We start from the raw sequence: 22,235 nt of genomic DNA on the forward strand, positions 1-22,235 counted from the left end.
CTTAATGTATTTTAACTTTTGGTATAATTTTTAAAAATCTTTTCACTGTGCCACTATGTTCTCTCTGTATACTGAAACTTGTAAACTCTGCACATTCCATTTACAAAAGTAAATATAATTAACATCTAGTCTTCGAGGTCAGTTCAGCTGAATATAACACAGCTTGTGGAGAAGAACACTAGTTTCTTTGGCCATTCCAGAGAGAAGGGGGGAGAGAAGAATTTTCTCATTCTTCTGTTACCTTTCAGAGATTTATGCCAATCCACAGAGTTCCTTTGCCGTACTATTTCTGACTAAACTGTTATTTAACAACTATAATTTGCTCAGCAATCAACTGACGAAAATTGTACAACTATAAAACTAGCTACAAGATTAGACAAGCCATATGTTATACAGTGGTTTTTCCAAATCACTAATTTGAAAATAAAAGAAAATGTACAATTCAACTACATAATGGAAGGGTTATTTTGGGGGGTAGGTTTGAGGGTCAGTGTTTCACATCTTTGTAATCTAAATGACTCTTTTCTAAGACTTTAAACTTTAAAAGCACACTCAGAATATAATAATTTGATGAATAGTTACTATAAATAAAAGCAATCTCAGTGATTAGTTTGCAAGTAACTATAAAAACTACATAGAATTATTTTCTCAAGTATACATTTTTCTCTTAAATACTCAGCTCAAGTACTGTGTGATTTACATCTCTGACCACTGTATATTTTTCTTCCCTCTCTTTGTAGAAGTTGCTTCTGAATTATGTCTCTCAGAAAACACATTATAGGCTGGGCACAGTGGCTCACACCTGTTACCCCAACACTTTGGGAAGCCGTGGCAGGATGATTGCTTGAGGCCAGGAGTTCAAGACCAGCCTGGGCAATATAGCAAGACTCCGTCGCCACACACACAAAAAATAGCTGGGTGTGGTGGCATGTTCCTGAAGTCCCAGCTACCCAGAAGGCTGGGGTGGGAGGATGGCTTGAGCCCAGGAGTTAAAGGCTGTGATAATAATAATAATTTAAAAAAAGGCTGTGATAAGATGTGATCCTGCCACTGCCCTCCAGCCTGGGTGACAGAGTAAGACTCTGTCTCTTAAAAAAAATAAAATTTAAAAAATGCAACAGATTATAGCAACCACAGTTCAAATAAATTCTGTATTCGAGCTGTACTTTTTAATGGGATATTATGATGAAATAATTTTTCTAAAGAGGCAAGTCATATTATAAAGTTATTTTTATATAAACTATACAAGGGATTTTATACAGACTATGAAAAGGATGCAGGATTTCAGGAAAAAAACTTAAGTTTTATAATATAATAATATATAATATAAATAATATATTAGCAAGGATGTAGATCTTTGGGAATATCCACTCTCATCCACTCTCATTCTACTGATCTGTTATAACAATCATAATCTCAGAACGAGGCCAATCAGACTCAAAGCACAGTTACAACAGGAAACTTTCTATAGTCCATTGTAATTTCAGAGTAGCCTGTCATTCCAGATACTAGGTCCATTCCTTATGTCTGGAGAATTTTTAAAGTGGACTAGTGAAAAAAAAAAAAGTATTGCCATTCTCCTGCAATTATTTTTGGAAAACAGAATGCTAGCAAACACCCTCCCTAGGAGAAAGAAAGCAAACAAGAAAAATTAAAGAGAAAGATAAAGAATATAAAATAAATCAAAAGAAACATTATAAAAGAACTCTTAAACCCATTTATGCCTAGTGTTCCATTATTGGAACGCTAAGCATGTGGGAGTTATTTATATTCTACTGCTCAAGGTCATCATCAAAGTCTGACTGCAAAAATTCAAAACATTGCAGCCTCAGGCATAAATGGGTTAAAATACTTGCTGTGAGTGGTCATACTTTAACCAACCTCATTGGAATGCTGTCGGGGTAAATCCATAAATGTAGTCATTATAAAACCTTGAATTAAGGTTATAATCATAAAACTGTAAATTATCTAATATTTATTATTGTACACATTCTTTAAAAGAAATGTTTGTGCCATTGCAAGGAAAATAAATTGAATTGTTAAAAAAAATTATAAATCACATTTCTTCCTGTTACATGCTTTGTGTCCCTTGCTTATAAATTAATATTGATCCTATCTATTCTTCCCTCCTCAGACAGTTTAAGTCTCTAAAATCTATCAAAAGCAGAATTAAAATGAGAACACTAAATACAAATAAACTTGGCATCATTATTTACGTAATTAACCTTAATGTAGAGAGAGAAAAATAGGTTTTTTTCTACTCTTTTTCCCACCTCTCTTTCTCACCTCTGACAAAAGAGGTATACTTTATTAAGCAAAAATGAAAAGAGGAATTAATTTTTAATTATCTTTTTAATTGCTATAAAATAAAATTTATGTATTATATAAAAATCTCAAAACTCTACTGTTCCCTACTGTTATTTTCCTTTCCTTTTTCTCTTTAAATATCTTCGAACCCACATCATTTCTTTTGTACATGAAAAAGATAATCAGGCTGTGAATCAATAAGAGTCACTAAACTTTATTTGAACTTTTTCATATTTATGTCAGCTTTTGAGGTAACTGTTTGATATTTTATTTTTGCATTGATGCAGTATACACAGGAATTTAAAGCAACTTACCTTTAAACTGTACCTATTTAAAATTATCTGTAAAGACTACATCTTCATCTTATCTCTGTTCAAGCATTCAAATAATAAAATACAGAATTTACTATCTATTGAAAACACATGTAACGTTTTTAGACTGGCTCGCTCAGCACAATGCCCTTGAGATTCATCCAAGTTGCTGGATGTCTCAACAGGTCTTTCCTTTTTACTGCTGAGTAGTATGTCATCATATGGAAGTATGACAATTTACATTTATCCATTCCCCTTCTGAAGGACATTTAGGTAATTTCCAGTCTTGGGCTATTACAAATAGAGTTGTTATGAACATTCATATACAGGCTTTTATGTGAACATAGGTTTTTATTTTTCTAGGATAAATGCTCAGTAGTGTGACTACTGTATGATTCTATTTCTATATCACTCTCAAAATAACAAAATTATAGAGATGTAGGACATATAAGTGGTTGCCAGGAGTTAGGGAAGGTGGAGGGAAGGTTGTCACTATATTTCAAATGTGATGACTACTTGTGATACATCTTTCTGTCTAGACTCAAACTAAGATGATGTATTGTTACCTAGAAAACGATCATTTCTTATTCAGGATAAGTGTATCTAATGTACAATTTTTTAATATTACAATTAGAACATATTGAGAGCAGTCTAACCATCAAGTAACATTTAATTCACTAAAGAGACAAATAAATTGCAAATCAAATTCAGAAAGAGAAAAAAACAGGCTTAGACAAATTTATATTAAAATAATAAAAAATATGAATCAAGTGGCTAAGGGTATAATAAGAAAATCTGCATACCTGTTAATTTGATATGTCCTATTTCATCAAGCAAAATGCTGTAAATCAAAATTCACATTCAACAAGATGGAATAAAATATTTTACATAAAACATTTACATAAAAATCATAAAACTAAGATAGGTCAGTATCTATTTAATATATGTAAAAAATTTAAATGATTAACTTAAAGTCAATGTACGTCTCACAAAGATTACTTTTTACAAATAAGTTTCATATAATTCATATAGAATTCCCTATAATATTTAAAAGATCTAACAGAGTTTGACAAAAAGCAGTTCCAGAAATACAGACAACATGAAAACAAAAGAATACAGCTTTACTTTTCTGGCTTCAGGTCTCTATAAACAATTCCTAATTGGTGCAGATGATCCAAAGCAAGGGCCAGTTCTGCGAGGTAGAATTTCACATCTTCCTCTGTAAACAGAACCTAGAACAAAATAATGATTTATCATTTGATCTTTCTTTCAATATTCAGTATATTTAAAAATACTTCTTTCAAAATGAGTAGACAGACAAATCTAGGAAAATAATAAGATAATAAGCACAGTCAATTCTTATTTGACTGGCATAATTATTGGCAATACCAGAGAAATAAGATTTCTATATAAATGAAACTAAACTCTTTAAGAATGTGTCTCTTCGATATTAACCATTTTAATGTAAATCTTTCTGAAATATTATGTTGTTTGTATATCTTCTCACACGAAATGCAAAGAACAAGATTCACCTTTTATAAAGTGACTTTGCCTCATAATACCAATATTAATTATAGTAATCTGCTATAATATAGTAACCCTTAGGGTATTTGAAATATAGAAGTTATTTTGTTTTAGCTCTGAGAATTCCACTATTTATACCATTCTCTCTTTTACTGTCTAGTATCATTTCTCAGAAATTTCACTTTTAGGGGCTCTACAAACCCAAAGCTTTTACTACACTGCCACAAGTTGTTAAATTAGTACCCTTATCTTACACACAATTGTGAACTCATCTCTGACCTAAGGGGTGGATCCAAGCCTCTTCTGTTAGTAATGTATACGAGTGTAATGGCACTGTATTAATCATTTTGTGTCTGGAAATACGGCTGCTATGATGAAGTGAAGAGTAATGAACTTGAAATCAGAATTGGCAGTGTAATATCAGACATGTCACTTAGCCCTTTGGGCCTCAGTTTCTAAATCTGTGAAACAGGACAATAATATCTGCTGTATATACCTAACAAGGTTGTCGTAAGAATCAAATCAGTTTATGTGGAAAAAAAGCTTTGTAAACTTTAAAAAACTATATATATAACCATATGGTACTATTATTATAGGTTTACATCTAAATTCATTCACTAGTGAGTATTCATTTACACATAGAACTGGACACTAATCAGCCATTAGATGTAATTTTTAAGGTTTAGCAAGAACTCCGGATTGGCAAAATCAAATATTTTTCTAAAAATGGGTTATTTTCATAAAGAAACCTCTGGATTATTAAGAAGGCTCAAAATTGCATAAAGTACATGTCATAATAGCTTACAACCTGCTTGCCCATTTAGAATTACGGCCACTGCATTTCACAATGCAGATCCAGGTTACTAGTAAAATTGCAGAGAATTAGTAGTTAATAACTTCTGATATGCTAACTACTTTTTAAAATGATGAATAGAAAAACAAAGATTGTTTATTATCTAAGTTTTGGGAGCATTAATTTGAATATTATAATGGTAAAAATATAAAAACATCACTTTCACTTGACTTTTTATTAAGAATAAAAATAACTGTTGCCTATTCAACTTCTAACCAAGGATAATAAGAATGTTCTCTGAAAGCTAATACGTAAGAAAACCCTAAATAAAAATTATTTAAAACTAAATTAGAAAAAAACTTTGCCTAGTTACAGTTATGCAAGCCTATCACCTTGTCATGAGGTTGTCTTGGTAGAAAGCCTCATGATAGATGCAAATAAAACATTACTAAGTAGCAATTATGTGCCAGGCACTGTACAATCATTATGTTATTATAGCTTCCAAACTCTATGAGGTAGGTATTAGGAACACCTTGCAAATGGAGAAAGAAACTCAGAGTGATTAAGTAACTTGTCCAAAATAACACAGCTAGTTAAGAAGGAGGCCCAAGACATGAACTCAGGGATACTTGTCCATAAGAATGAACTCTTTCCCAGAAGCCACTTCTGCCACATGCTGTGATGCAATGTTTGCTTTTCTAAAAACAAATTTTAGGTTTACTACCAATAATGCTTTCCAACCCACTAATCGTCCTACTCATAAATTGCCCCCCCTACAAAATGAAAATTATCCTAAACTCCAGTACTCTTGAGTAAAGCACTTTTAATATTTTGTCATCTGCTTTTCAAATTTTTTGTGCATATCTGTGTGTGAATGTGTCCATGTGTATTTTAATACAGTTGAAATCACACTACTGTATAAGTACTATTTAGTGACCTCATTTATCCCCAGTTAATACTATATCATAAGCATTCTATGTCTTTAAAACTTATTTATAAATAGTTTTCAATAGCTGCACAATATAACCATACCAATTTACTGTAATTTACCTAAACATTCCCCTTCTTGACATTTAGGTTATTTCCATTTTTTCTCTATTTGAAATAACTCTGCAATATGCATATGTACATCTTACTGATATTTATGATCATTTTCTCAAAATGAATTAAGAATTTTTTTTTAAAAATGGAATGCTGGGTCAAGGAGCATAAATAGTCCAAGATTCCTGACATACACGATAAAATTATTTTCCAAAAAGGTTATAGTAATTTCCACTCCCATCAGCAGTTTACGAAAGCATCTGTCTTACCACATCCTTGATAGCATGGAATATACCCTGTAAAAAGCCTTTTCAAATTTGATGTGTGAAAATGGCATTATTTTTTAAATTTAAGTTTTGATTTTTAGGCTGAACATTGTTATTCATGTTTAGTAGTCTTTCTACTTTTTTGTGAATTATCAGTAATGTTTGTGCCTATTTTCTATTACTGACTTACTGTTTTGTCAATTGGTACAAGTCACTTAAATGTTAAAAATGTCAGTTTTCTATCATATTAGCTGCAAATATTTATCCAATTTTGTGCTAGTTTTTGATGTTCAGTAATCCTTAATTTTTGCTAGTCAAATGTATGATGATTTCTGTATGATTTTTCCTTCATTATTTTAATGTTTAAGGAGACATTCTCCATCCAATGGTCAACAAAATATTTAGCTGCATTTTATTATAGGGTAATTGTTTTTCAAGATTTAGCTTTTTTATGTAAGTAAGATTTATTTTTGTATATGGTAGAGATGGCATTTTAAAATGATTTTTGGAAATATTTAAGCAATTTCTCAAATACTGTTTATTGAACAACCTCTTTGCCACAATTTGTGATTCTTCCTTTATCATAATGATATAGGGTAAGTAATCTATAACAGGATATTTTTGGGCTATACAGTATGTTTCCAATCTTGTGTTGATACTATAATGTTTTGCTTATGCACATTACCAAGTTTTAAACAAGAGAATTTGGGGAGGCCAACGCGTGAGGATCACTGGAGCCCAGGAGTTTGAGACCAGCCTAGGCAACATAGCAAGATCCCATCTCTACTGAAAAAAAAAAATAGCCTGGTATAGTGGCGCACGCTTCTGTAGTCCAAGCTATTCGGGAGGCGGAGGCATGAGGATTGCCTGAGCATGGGAGGTTGAGGCTGCAATGAGCCAGGATAGTGCCACTGCACTCCAGCCTGGGGACAGAGCAAGACCCTGTCTCAAAAAACAAACAAACAAAAATATTATTTCTTTGCATTTGTTTACTTTTCCAAGGAAACTATAAAATAATTCTGTCAACATCAAACAAACAAAAATCCCTATTGTGGCTTTATTTGGAATTTTGTTAAGCCAATAAATTAATTTTAGAAGAACTGACAGCTTTACAATAATCAGCCATTCATTCTACCACATTTTCTTGAATAAGGAAAATAGAGCACAGCTTAAGAGTTCTGTTTGTTTACCTGTGTATTTGTGTGTGTGTGTGTGTGTGTGTGTGTGTGTGTGTGTGTGTACATTCTGAGGAAGGGAAATTTGGGTAGGTATCTTTCCCTTTAAAATACAAATGACATACATTATAAAATTCTTTAAAACATACAAAAATGTATTTAAAAAGTCTTTTTCTAAGGTATAAAAACATGTCCTCATTTTGGATTAACAATTTTTTGTACACACAAGTGAAGTATAACCAACAAACATCTAATTATTAATAAGCTGTCTACAGAAGTAACCATTGAATCATTTTTTAAAAGGCTGCTCAATCAATGTACTAATTTATCATCTTTTGGGTAACGCATTTAAAATGCTTGCTCTTACCTAATATTCCAGACTTAGGAATCAAAACTTACTGACTGCATCTCTGTGCTAGTATGGGTTTAGATAGTCCCACATCGAGAATGGAGGTCTGAAGAGTTTAAAAGAAAATTAGAAATGACTACAAGAATTTCTCAAACATATTTGTGACACTTCTAAAATCTAACGCAAGAAATCATGAATAATGGAGCCTTATTATACTGTTGTCCTTCTATGCCTTGGTACCAGTTTTTAACAAGGTCCTTTAAAGACCCTCCTTAGAAGGGGGTCCTAGACAATCCTTTTCAGATATTGAATTATGTTCTATAGTTAATAATATACCAATAACACACCCTATGCTCACGCATGGCACATTCTACACTGGAGGTAGACAGATATAAGCCAGAGACCTTAGCCACTTAAGCACTGGCTAGCATACCAGAAACACACTGTTCCTTTATCACAGCAAGTTCCAGAGCTCTGGGAATCAACAGTAGCTCTCCCACATTCTACACTGTAAATTCTGGAAGTAAGACATTGAACTACTATCACCCAATTAAAATGCTACTCCCAGACTACTACTTAAAGAAAAATGAAGCAGACAAAGACAGGATTTAATCTCATGCCTGAAAAATCTAAAACACAGGACAAAACGTATGAAATGATACTTTTAAGACATTGGACATCAGGCAACAAAGGACACTGAATACTGAGAGACAGGGGACAAATGACGTATGCCCCACAACTGCCTTAGCTTACTACCTGGAAAGAGTTTCCAAGTGGTAGTACAGGGAGGGCTAAGTCAGGTGGAGCCTGAAAGACTTCCTGAGTAGATAAGCCAGAACAGAGAGTCTTAGAGAAGGAGGACAAAATTCACAGGATGGAGTATTAGAGAAGAGAAAATTGCACAAAGAGAACTCTGTAGATATGCAGACAGTCTCCTTCAAGTATTCAGTGGAGAAATACTCAGCACATATGAGTGAGGACATTACCCTAAACCAGGAAAACAACGAAGGGTTAGAGGAACCAGTCGATGAACTCACGATGGGCCAGGAATAGTTCCTGTTGCCTTCAGCCAGAGCAGAAAATCTCATAATTCATAGGACATCAGATAAAGTAATCAGAAGGATTTTGCTTCAGTAGTGGAGCAAAATTAACCCGACTGAAAGCTGTGTTAGTCCAATCTAACGAACTTTAAAAGACCTATAATAATCAAACTAGTTTTATATCTCAGAACAGAGATCAATAATAGTTACAGAAATACAAAAATGTTCATCACCTTAACAAGCTAAATGTCACAATGTCTGCCATCTAATAAAAAATTGTCAATCATGGGCCAGGCACTGGGGCTCATGCCTGTAATCCCAGCATTTTGGGAGGCCAAGGCAGGCAGATCACTTGAGGTCAGGAGCTTGAGACCAGCCTAGCCAACATGGTGAAACCCCATCTCTACTAAAAATACAAGAATTAGCCGGGCTAACTGTGCACCTGTAGTCCCAGCTATGCAGGAGGCTGAGGCAGGAGAATCACTTGAACCCGGGAGGCAGAGGTTGCAGTGAGCTGAGATCACGCTACTGCACTCCAGCCGGGGCAATAGACTGAGACTCCATCTCAAAAAAAAAAAAAAAAAAAACATACATATATATATATATAGTCAAACATGGATCTGAGGAAACTACCCAAGCCCAAGCCCAGGAAAAGAAAAACCTTAAAAGATTAAAAGAAAGAACCCACTCAGCTCACAAAGGACTGAGATAGCTCCTCTTCCCAAAAGTTAGAATGAAAAGCCTCATAATTCAAAGAGTCTTTGTTAGAGTATAAGAAAGGACATGCTTCATACTGAGGAAAAATTAATCTTAAACTAAATACTTCCCTAGTCCCACATGACAAAGCTTAAACACAAGGCCCAAAATGATCAAAGTGTTTACAAGAAAATGAACTGCATCCTAGAAAAAAGCTAAATACTATTTATATGAAAATAAAGGTATCTAGCATGTAAGAAAATTAAATCCACCATGCCTGCTATCCAGTAAAAATGACTATGCAAGTATGATTCCATTGAAGTACAAAATAAGGCACAGACAATACTTAAACAAATGAGTATGTCTGTGTTCCAATAAAACTTTATTTACAAAGAAAAATAACTGGCCAAATTTAGCCTGAAGACCATATTTTCCTGACCTCTGAGTTAAAACTTATACTACAAATCCTAAGGTAACTATTAAATTACACAACAAAGTGTTATGGATAATATCTACAAGACAACAGCAGAGATAAAAATGAAATTGTAAAAAAAAAAAAAGTAATTAAAAAGAAGCCAGGAGAAGAGGGAAACAAGAACAAAGAACAAATGGGACCAAAAAAAATCCCAAATAGCAAGATAGTAGATTTAAATAGAACTACAAAAATAATCATATTAAATGTAACAGGTCTAATATCCCAATTAAAAGACGTGGACTCTCAGATTGGATTAAAAAACAAGGAAACTATGCTTCCTTAAGTACCACACATTAAAATATAAAGACACACATAGGCTGAAGTTAAAATATGGAAAAAGATATACCAAACTAACACTACTTTTTTAGAAAATAGTTGGTGTGACCATGTTAGTATCAAATAAGATTTTGAAGAAAAGAACATTACCAGGGATAAAGTCAGTCATGTCATATCATAACGATGAAGGGGTCTATTCATCAAGAGGGAATAATAAACCTAAAGGTTTATGTACCTAATAACAGAACTTTGAAATATATGAAACAAAAACTAACAGAAATTCAAGAAGAAATATACAAATTCATAATTAAAGTAAAAAGGTGTCAATCCTTGTCTCAAAAATTTGTAGAATAGGCAGAAAATTAGAAAGAATATAGGCAATTTAATATCACTATCAAACAACTTGATCCAGTCCACATTTATAGAACCTTCCACCACCCAAAAATAGCAGAATACACATTCTTCTCAAGTGGACATGGAACATTTACCAAGATACACGACATTCTGAAGCATAAAGCAAATATAAGTTTAAAAGAATTAAAGTCATACAAAGTATGCTTTATGACCACAAGAACATTACAGTAGAAATCAACAATAGAAAGATATGTGAAAGAATGCCCAAATATTTGTAAATTAAGCAGACTTCTAAATATCAATGGGTCAAAGAAATAGAAAGGAAATCATAAAGTACACTGAACTGAGAGAAAATAAAAATGATGCATATCAAAACTTGTGAGATGACCCTAAAGCAGTATTCAGAGGGGAATTTATAACACTAAACACCTACATTATTAGAAAAGAAAGGCCTCAAATCAATAACTTCAGCTCCCATCTTAAAAACCAGAAAAAGAAAAGCTAATACATAAAATAAGCAGTAAAAAAGATTAAAGCAGAAAACAATGTAATAGAACAGAAATAGAATACAGAAAAATCAATGAAACCAAAAGCTGTTTCTTTGAGAGTAATAAAATTGATAAATCTCTAGTGAAGCTAAGCAGAACAAAAACAGAGCAAACATGAATTACCAACATCAAAAGTGAGAGCAGTGACATCACTAACAATTCCACAACTACAAAAAGGACAATAAGGGAATATTATGAACATTTTTATGCCAATAAATTTCATAACTTTGATGAAATAGACAAATTCCTTAAAAGACACAAGTTAGCAAAGCTCACTCAAAAATAAATAACCCAAGTCTATTACATAAATTGATTTTGGAGTTAAATACTTTCCTATAAGAAAAACTTCAGGTTCAGATGCCTTCACTGGTGAATTCTATCAATCATTTAAGGGCAATTTATCATTGAATCTACATAAACTTTCCCAGAAAGTTAAAGAGGCAAAAACTACACCCAACTCATTCTATGGAGTCAGAATTACTCTAATACCAAAAATAGACATAATAATACAAGAAAATCATAAATATCCCTCATAAAAATAGATGCAAAAATTCTTAAATATTCAGCAAATATCGTCCAACAATTTATAAAAAGGGTAATACATCAAGACTAAGTGGGGTTCATCCATAAATGCAAGGTTGGTTCAACATCTGACTATCAATCGATGTAATTCACCACAGTAAGACTAAAAAAAATTATAATCTCAATAAATGAAGAAAAAGCATTTGAATAAATCTGAAATTGATTCCTGATTTTTTATAAAACTCTCAAAAATAGTTACAGAAAACTTTCTCAACCTTTGAAATCTATTTCTAAAAGCTGCTAGAAGTATTAAGTTTGGCTAGACTGTGGGAAACAAGCTCAATACACAAAAAATCGGTTGTGTTTCCATCCAATTTAAAATTGAAATTAGGAAGTCAATTCTATTTACAATAACATTAAAAACAGGATTTACTTAGAGGTAAATCTGACAAAAGAATTGCAAGAATTACACTGAAAACAATACTGCGAGAAATTAAAGATGACCTAAATAAATTGAGAAAGATACCACGTTCATCAATTAAAAGACTCAATATTACTAAAATGTAACTTATCTGCAAATTGACCTATACATTCAATAAAATTCCAACCAATATCCCAGCAGGACATTTTTGTACAAAGTGAAAAGCCGATTTTAAAATTGATATGGAAATGCAAAGGACCTAGAAGAGCCAAACTTTCAAAAAGAAAAGCAAAGCTCAAGGACTCGCACTGCCTCACTTCAAGACATATTATAAAGGTACAGTAATTCAGACAGTGTGGTATTGTCATAAAGATAGACAAATGGATCAATGAACAGAACAGAGTATCCAGAAATAGGCCTTCATATATATGATCAACTGGTTTTCAAGAAAAATGTAAGGTAATTCAGTGAAGAAAAGACAGACTTTTCCAATAATGATGCTATAACAACTGGCTATCTATGTGAACAAATGAAAAGGACTTCTGCACATACCTGTAACCATATACTAAAATGAACTCAAAACGGATCCTAAATCTAGATGTAAAATGCAAACTACAAAACCTCTAGAAAACATAAGAGAAAATCTTTAGCTGTGATTAGGCAGATATGCCTTACAAAGGACACTAAAAACACAATTAATAAAGGGAAAAAATCCTATAAATCAGACTTCACCAAAATTAAGAACTTCTGCTTTTCAATACACTGTTAAGAGAATGAAAAGACAAACTATAGACCAGAAGAAAATATTTCCAAATAACATATATGATCAAGGACTTACATCCAAAATATATGAAGAACTCTCAAAACTCAATAAGAAAACAAACAATCCAATAAAAAAAAACAGGCTAAAAATTTAAACAGACATTTTACCAAGAGGATAGATGGCAAATGAGCTCATGAAAAGATGCTCAATGTCATTAGTCATTAGTGTGATGTAATTCAAAACCACAATGGGATACCACTAAAAACTAATCTAATGTTCAAAAATTTTAAAAGACTGACCATACCAAATGTTGGCAAGGATGTGGAGCAACTGAAACTCTCTTACGCTGCTGGTGGGAATGTAAAATTTATATAATCACTTTGGAAAACAGTTTGGCAGTGTCTTTAAAAGTTAAACATATACCTAGCACATGACCCAGTCATTATACTCTTAGGTATTTACCCATGAGAAACGAAAACATATGATACAATCACTTGTACATGAATGTTTATAGCAGTTTTATTAGTAATATCAAAAACTGCAATGACCCAAAAATCCATCAACAAGTGAATGATAAACAAATCATGATGTATCCATACAATCAGTAATACTACCCATCAATAAAAATGAATAAACTATTAGTACATACAACATAGATGAATCTCAAAGTACTTATGTTAAGCCAGACAAAAAAAATGAATATACTATATGATTCCATTTATATAAACTCCTAGAAAGTACAAACCAAATAGTGACAGAAAGCAGATTCAGTAGGGTTAGGGCAGGAGGACGGCATCACAAAGGGACACAAGAAAACTTTCGGGAATGACAGATATGCTAATTATTCTTATTGTAATGATGGTTTCACAGTTATATACAAATGTAAAAACTTATGAAATTGTATACTTTAGTATGTACAGTTTATTGTATGTCAATTATACCTCCATAAAGCTATTTTAAAATGAATAAACACTACTCCCAGAGGTGTTTAGGTAGCTTGAGTAGCCAAAGTCCTAGGCTTGCCCGTATCTACTTTATCCAGTTATTCATATTGTTCTTTTGCCTAAGAAAATAATGAGTAGCACATTGAGATGATAGAAAATGCCATTAACAGGCACATTACCAAATACTATGCAATGAAACAGAGTAGTTACCATTTAAAATTTCAATAGGAAAAATGTAATTAGCAGAAGAACAAAAGTGATTTTTCTTAGTTTTGTTTTAAGAAAATACAGTAAAAATGTACAGATACTTACCTCTTTGGATAATCTTGTGAAAACATCTCCTCCCCTGAGAAAATCCAGTATTAAGTACAGTTTCCCTTCAGTCTGAAAGGCTAATTAAAAATTAGAATATAGTAACAGGATAATCTCAAAGGCTTAAAAAGCTTAGTATGCTTTTAAATTAATATATGTTTAGAATTTTACAGTATTTACTCACATGGTTCATTAATGGATAACATCTCAAAATTAAACCCAGTGTTTAATCCAGTGTAGAAATAGCTATAAACCCCTTCCCAGAACATAATCACCCTTGAATGTGGCTTTACACAGAACTTCTACCACCAAAAATTTCCTAATTTATGAAGCATGTTATACTGCAATTGCCTAAACTTAGCCTATCAAACCTACTGAAAATCTACAAATTCTATAAAGCTGAAGAAAAATGCCACTTCCTCTATTAAACTTTCCAGGATTTCCCCCTTTTCACATTTTTCAACAGCTTCCTCAACCTCTTCTTTATTGAAATTACTTGCTGCTACTTTTCAGATCTTATTATATTTATACCTCCTTAATAGTACTTATTCCATTTTGATTTATGCAATTAATTTCTTTACATCTCTGTGTTCTCTATAGGTTATAAATTTCTTGAGGTCAAAAAGTGTTTCACTTCTATAGCCCACTGAATTTAATACAGTATTTTTGCACACAATAAGTGTTTACTGATGGACCTACTACAGACACGGGAAGGTCTTTAGATGTTACTTTTTTTATTCTGTTAGTATAACAAGGAGTAAAAGAATAATGGGTGGAAATTTCTTATGGGATTTTAATAGTGATAACTGGGTATATATTTTAATGTATTATTTGTCAAAATTACACTAAGAATAAAATCAACAGCTGCTACTTTTTTAAATATAGAAAAATGGAAGTGACAAAGTACACTATATCAGAGGTAGATAGACGATAGATAAATAGATAGAGTTGATCTCAACCATATGTTAAATTAGCAATGGAGCCATGATTCAAATTCAGAAATGTCTAACTCCAAAGCTCATGTTCTTTCCATTACATCTACTGCTTCTTACTGGTAGTCCTCTCCCATTAAGTATAAAAAAATAACTCAAGTAGACTAACATAACTACATGGTCCTCTGGAATATAACCAGGAAACAGATAAGTGTGGTCATTATGAACAAGCAACTGAATGTTTTACGTAAATTATCACAATAGTTTATAGTCTAAGATTATGAAGTTACAGCCTAGCAAAGTACATAAATACTACCAGACAGGTAAGTGAAAAACACTATCTTGTTACTTTAAACAAGTTAATCAACTTAGAAAAATGAAGGACATATAACTAATAACTAAATACTGATATTTATTTCAGACAAATACATTTTACGTAGCTGAATATACTAAGTCTAAAGTATTTATTTCCTGTTATAGTATTGTGTGAAAGGAAATCATAATTCTCTAATTCCATATTAATAAATAAGGATTAAAATAAATAAAAGAATAAAAAAAGATTACATACCATAGTGCAATTTGACAATAAATGGATGATTTACTTCCACCAGTATATCCCTCTCCATCTTTGTCCGAACTCTGTCTCGAACTAAAAATTACATAAAGGTACAATATATTGCTCTCTTACATCATTTCAGTTAAGAGTCCATCAATAATTTACCAAACAACAAATATAAAAATACAAAACGTAACTTCCTAAATGCCGAAATTTGCAGTTTTCATATTCCTAGATAATGACCATATTCTCAGAAAGCAAAAATATTCATTACATCTAGAGACAGGTTAAGGTGGCATAAACAGGTATGTAGCTAATATGCATTTATTATGTGTTCATCTTTTGTTGTTGTTGTTGTTGAGACAGGGTATTGCTCTCTTGTCCAGGCTGGACTGCAGCGGCACAATCTCAGCTCACTGCAACCTCCACCTCCCAGGCTCAAACAATCCTCCCATCTCAGCTTCCCGAGCAGCTGGAACTATAGGTGCATGCCACTACACCTGGCTCATTTTTGTAATTTTTGTAGAGACAGGGTTTCACCAGGTTACTCAGGCTGGTCTTGAACTCCTGGGCTGGGCTCAAGGGTTCAGCCCACCTCAGCCTCTCAAACTGCTGGGATTATAGGTGTGAGCCACCATGCCCGGCCTATTAATCTCTTTTAATTGTTCAAATGAGTTTACTGATTAAAACTGATCATAAGCGGTATTTTTATCACACCCTAAAAGATAGTGTGTGCAAATGGTTGTGCTTTCTCAATATGTAATACTGACACAGATAGAAAAGGAAAAACCAAGAATCTTGAAAGAAGAGAATATATCCTAATTAAGTTAATAAGTTTAAATTAAATGAAATATGTCACTTTTTCTAGCATCAAATTTTTACGGGGGTGCACTCTCACTAAGTTAAGGCATATGCCAATATCAAATCTAGTAATATTACCTACAGGTTAGAAAAACTGCCACAAATACCAATGTTAAAAATAGCTACATCTATTCACCTTATGCAAGTAATACACAGCATATTTCTTAAACTACACTTTGTCAAATTCTATTTTAATAAACTTTCTAATTTTCTACCTTTTAAAGAGGCTTTTTTTAACACCTTCATTGCATAGAGCTGCCCAGCATCAGGACCGGTCTTCTTTCTAACAAGAAAAACCTAATAGAAAATTGAACAAAAAAAAAAAGGAAAATTCACATTTCTAGTCATTCTTGCTCTACACAAACACACCAGCATACACTTATATCCTTGCATTTTCTCTAATTTTATAAACATATGCCTTCCCATAGAGGGAAGGGAGAGATAGTGAGAGATTTGTTGAAGGATGCAAAATTACCCTGATCTGATCCCCATACATTATACGTATTGAAACTTCACTATGTACCCCACGAATATGTACAACTATTTGTCAATTTAAAAAAATAAATGAAAAAAGTTATACCTTCTCCTATAAATTATTCTATAATTTACATTATTATTTTCTCACTTTTCTTAGATTTAATTTAGTTTTTAATCAAAAAAACTGTTATGATTTAATAAATCATAATGCATATAAATACTACTATAGAAAGGAAAATTTTTAAAATAGATGACCTGGTACTGAACTTTGAGAATTTTGTGATGTAAGAGATAAATAACATAATGAAAGACAAACTTGAGCTACATACCTCCTTTTAAGACCCAGGCCCACTTTTTGTTACCTTAATAAAGAGCAAACAAATATTATGACCCTATATACCTTAATTAAATATGCTTTATTGCTAAAAAATGCTAATGATCATCTGAGTCTTCAGTGAGATATAATCTTATTGCTGGTGGAGGGTCTTGCCTCAATGTTGATGGCTGCTGAGTGATCAGGGTGGTGGCTGCTGAAGGTTAGGGTGGCTGTGGCAATTTCCTAAAATAAGACAATGATGAAGTTTGTTGCACAGATTGACTTCCTTTCATGAAATAATTTTCTATAGAATTTGATGGTGTTTGATAGCATTTTATACACAGTAGAATCTCTTTCAAAAGTGAACTCAGTCCTCTCAAATCCTACCGCTTTATTAAAGAAGTCTACGTAATATTCTAAAGCCTTTACTGTCATTTCAACAATGTTCATAGCATCTTCACCAGAAGTAGATTTCACCTCAAAAAAACTATTTTCTTTGCTCATCCACAAGGAGCAACTCCTCATCCATTCAAGTTTTATCATGAGACTGCAGCACTTCCGTCACATCTTTAGTTCCACTTCTAATTGTCTTGCTATTTCCACCACATTTTCAGTGATTTCCTCCAATGATGTCTTGAGCCCCTCCAAGTCATCCATAAGGGTTGGAATCAACTTCTTCCAAACTCCTGTTAATGTTGATATTTTGACTTCCTCCCATGAATCACAAATGTTCTTAATGACATCTAGAATAGCAAGTCCTTTCCAGAGGTTTTCAATTTGCTTTGCCCAGATTCATCAGAGCAATCACCATCTACAGCAACTATAGCCTTACAAAATGTATTTCTTAAATAATAGGGCTTGAAAGTCAAAATTATTCTTTGTTTCATGGGCTGCAGAATGGATACTGTAATAGCAAGCATGAAAACAACATTAATCTCCTTGTACATCTCTATCAGGGCTCTTGGGTAACTAGGAGTATTGCCAATGAGCAGTAATATTTTGAGAAATGTCTTTTTTTTTCCCTGAACAGTAGGTCTCAACAGTGGGCTTAAAATACTTAGCACACCATGCTATAAACAGATGTGCTGTCATTCAGGCTTTGTTCTATTTATAGAGCATAGGCATAGTAGATTTAACATAATTTTTAAAGGCCCTAGAATTTTTGGAATGGCAAATGAGCATTGGCTTCAACTTAAAAGTTCCAGGATCACTAGCTTCTATCAAGAGAGTCAGCCTGTCCTTCCAAGCTATGAAGCTAGGCGCTGACTTCGCTCTAGCTATGAAAGGCTAGATGGCATCTTCTTCCAACAGAAGGCTGTTTCTTCTACAATTAAAACCTGTTGCTTAGTGTAACCACCTTCAAGAGTTACTTTAGCTAGATCTTCTGACTAACCTGCTACAGCTTTTACATCAGCATCTGTAGCATTACCTTACACTTTTATGTTACGAAAATGGCTTCTTTCCTTTTTCTCTTCATGAGCCAACCCCTGCTGGCTTCAAACTTTTCTTGTGCAGCTTCCTCACCTCTCTCAGCCTTCACAGAATTAAAGAGAGCTAGGGAATTGCTCTAGATTAGGCTTTGGCTAGAGGGAGTGTTGTGGCTGCTTTGATCTTCTATTTAGACCACTAAAACTTTCTCCATATCAGTAATAAGGCTGTTTCACTTTCTTCTTATTTATATGTTCACTGGAGTAGCAATTTTAATTTCTTTCAAGAACATTCCTTTGCATTCACAACTTGGCTGTTTGGCACAAGAACCTTAGCTTTTAGCCTACCTCAGATTTTGACATGCCTTCCTCACCAAGCTTAATAATTTGTAGCTTTTGATTTAAAGTGACAAATGCAGAACACTTCCTTTCCCTTGAACACTCCAAGGCCACTATAGAGTTATTACTTAGACCAATTTCAATATTCTTGCAGGTCAGGGAATAGAGGGGCCCAAGGAGACAGAGAGAGATGGGGAAACAGCTGGTCAGTAAAATAGCCAGAACACACACACCAGTTATCAATGAAGCTCACTGTCTTATGTGTGCGTGGTTCATGGCACCCCGAAACAATGACAACACTAACATCAAAGATCACAGACCACAAAGAACCATAACAGATATAACAGTAAGGAAAACATTTGAAACACTGCAAGAATTACCAAAATATGAGACACGGACTATATAGAGAATATATAGAGAGGATATATATAGGATATATATATAGAGAGGATATATATAGGATATATATATATAGAGGATATATATAGGATATATATATATAGAGGATATATATAGGATATATAGAGAGGATATATATAGGATATATATATAGAGGATATATATAGGATATATATATAGAGGATATATATAGGATATATATATAGAGGATATATATAGAGAGGATATATAGAGAGAGGATATATAGAGAGGATATATATATAGAGGATAGATATATAGAGGATAGATATATAGAGGATAGATATATAGAGGATAGATATATATAGATATATATAGGATATATATAGATATATAGGATATATAGATATATATAGGATATATAGATATATATATAGCTATATAGGATATATAGAGATATAGATATATAGGATATATATAGATATAGATATATAGGATATATATAGATATATATATATACACACACACATATACATATATATACACACATACATATCTGTGAAGCGCAATGAAGTGAAGGATATCTGTGAAGTGCAATGAAGGGAAGCATAATAAAAATAAGTATAGCTGCATCAAGAAAATGACGTCAATGTGGCAAATATACATTTGCCTAAATTCAATTATTTGCTGGAAAGCTCAGATTCTACCATTGACAAAAAGAGTATCAGTTGTTTTTCTATGAACAGGCTCACTCCATTCATTTTTGAGAAAACACCTACGAAATAAGCATATTTAGGTAACCATAGTTTATTGTCCTTTCAAGGAAAAGTGGTGATCCATAAAAACAGTGGTTGGTTCAGCTCACAACTCAAAAAATTTGCACAAGTCCTCTGCCTTGAGACAACCATTCTATTTTGTTACGTGGCTAAGGGGCTTCACATGTACTTCCTATTTCATCGCATATTATTCAAAAGAAGGGTATTCAAGGATTGAGATTTAATAAATGTAATAATTGTTAATGTCTCATCAAGGACATTCTTAAACTGCATATGTAATAAAATGAAGACTACAATGACTACTGGTACCATTTGAAGTCACTGCCTTGATTGGCCAACATGCCAGCAGTTGTACAAACAATATCTTAGGATGACTGTGAAGTAGTTTTGACTTGAGGACTCCCTGAAAAGTCTTGGGATTGTCCAGGGGTACGGAGACCACAATTTCAGAACCACTCTTACAAAACATAGCCCTTAGTGGGATTGTAAAGAACGGAATATGAAGAGTGAGAAGAGGCAAGCAAGGAAGAAAGAAAGAGTCTAGGCTTTCTGAAGACACTGTTGCATAAAGGAGCCACTTTTTTCCCCTAGTTCTTCTAATATTCAGTAGTATCCCAATATGGCATTTAATAGGATCCATCATTCGCAGTCTAGAGAAGTAACCTGTTTAACACCTGATCTGTTTTTTCTTTTTTTTCAGGTCTTATGAGTGACTTTCCTAGCATGAGAAAATATCGTATCTCACTGCCCCCTTCCCAAAATCAACTACAAAAGTAGTTCTTTTTCCATCCCATTCTTGTCTATTGCCTAACATTTCTCAACCTTCCCAAGGCTATGTTTATTGATTTTTACTATTATAATGTCCTTCTTTGTCATCTGAAACTCTCCCTCCTCCTTCCACCTCACTTTCTTCAGGTTCTGCACCATTCCAAAAGCTTGACAGTAGTAACAACCTAACTTGAAATAAGGTGACAATGTACTTATCTGTGATCTATTTCTTTTTTCCTAAATCATCCTTGAAAAATTTCCCTATCCTGGTATAATAAAGTTGTGCTATATCACCTTATCTTCCCATATATGTACTCATTAGTTATTCAATCAACAAATTAACAGTCATTAAGCACATATTCTGTATCAGACACTGTGCTGGACACTGGGGGATACAGAAATAAACTGTGAACTTGAGGACAGAGAAATTTGTCAGAAACATCATGCCCTTTAAAGAAATAGATACAAGTACGCCATGGACTAAATTATGTCCCCTCAAAGTTAATATGTTAAAGTCCTAACTCCCAGTACCTTGGAACATGACTGTATTTGAGGATAGGGTGCTTAAAGAAATAATTAAAGTAAAAAAGTTGTTGCATGGCTTCAAACTAGTGGACCTAAAAACGTATCTATATTGATAAGAGGCTTCTTTTCAGTCACCCTAATCCAATCATGGGAAATTGTCCAAAAGAATGGGTGAGTTACTCCAATATAATTTTCTCTCAATCACATGGACGTTTATATTTTCCTATAAGAATATTCAGTAACTGCAGTGAACTAGAAGATCACACATATTTAAATGCTGTTTGAAGAGAAAGAACCAACTTCAGGAAATTTTAAGATGTAAGCATATGTTTTTAAAAACTATCACTTGAGAGTTGATCACTTATTTAAGAGTACAAGTATTCGATATTTTCAAAAATTCATTTTTAAGTCCTGTACTTAAAGTCTTTACTATCACAAAAGCAAAAGTATTTTTTTATAATCCACAAATATTAAAATGTATGTTTTATATAAATATTATTTGGCACATGATATATAAGGACGACTAATCAGACAATTTCAAAGGTATTTTCATGTGTTTGTGTTTTAAAATAATTAATGTAAGTTGTTTAGTATACCTTTCAACCCATACATTAATGATCATTAATAGCATTATACTTGGTGTGCTTAGGACAGAATTGTATATGCACCTTTCATGATAATAATGCATGCTTCCTTAAACTACAATTTTAAGTTGACTTTAGCAGGGTTCCCCCACTGTTAAATAGACAATAAAAACATTTAATGTTATAAGGCTTTATATGGG

General features: G+C 32.9%; 1 protein-coding gene across 10 annotated transcripts in view; it reads right to left on the reverse strand.

The window, feature by feature from the left end:
* The window catches only part of RPS6KA6 (ribosomal protein S6 kinase A6), a 130,154-nt gene that overhangs the window by 73,015 nt on the left and 34,904 nt on the right, over positions 1-22,235 (reverse strand). For 9 of the 10 annotated variants that reach the window (XM_047441997.1, XM_011530919.3, XM_017029425.2 and 6 more), the window contains 5 exons: positions 16,682-16,763; positions 15,618-15,698; positions 14,118-14,197; positions 3,744-3,850; positions 3,422-3,459 (listed from right to left, as the gene is read on the reverse strand). In XM_047441997.1, coding sequence (XP_047297953.1) covers positions 3,422-3,459; positions 3,744-3,850; positions 14,118-14,197; positions 15,618-15,698; positions 16,682-16,763 — 388 coding nt within the window. The remainder of the gene's footprint in view (positions 1-3,421; positions 3,460-3,743; positions 3,851-14,117; positions 14,198-15,617; positions 15,699-16,681; positions 16,764-22,235) is intronic. The other variant, XM_011530920.3, reaches the window with a different exon arrangement.

Source organism: Homo sapiens, chromosome X, assembly GCF_000001405.40.
Source record: "Homo sapiens chromosome X, GRCh38.p14 Primary Assembly".
NCBI classification, from domain to species: Eukaryota; Metazoa; Chordata; class Mammalia; order Primates; family Hominidae; genus Homo; species Homo sapiens.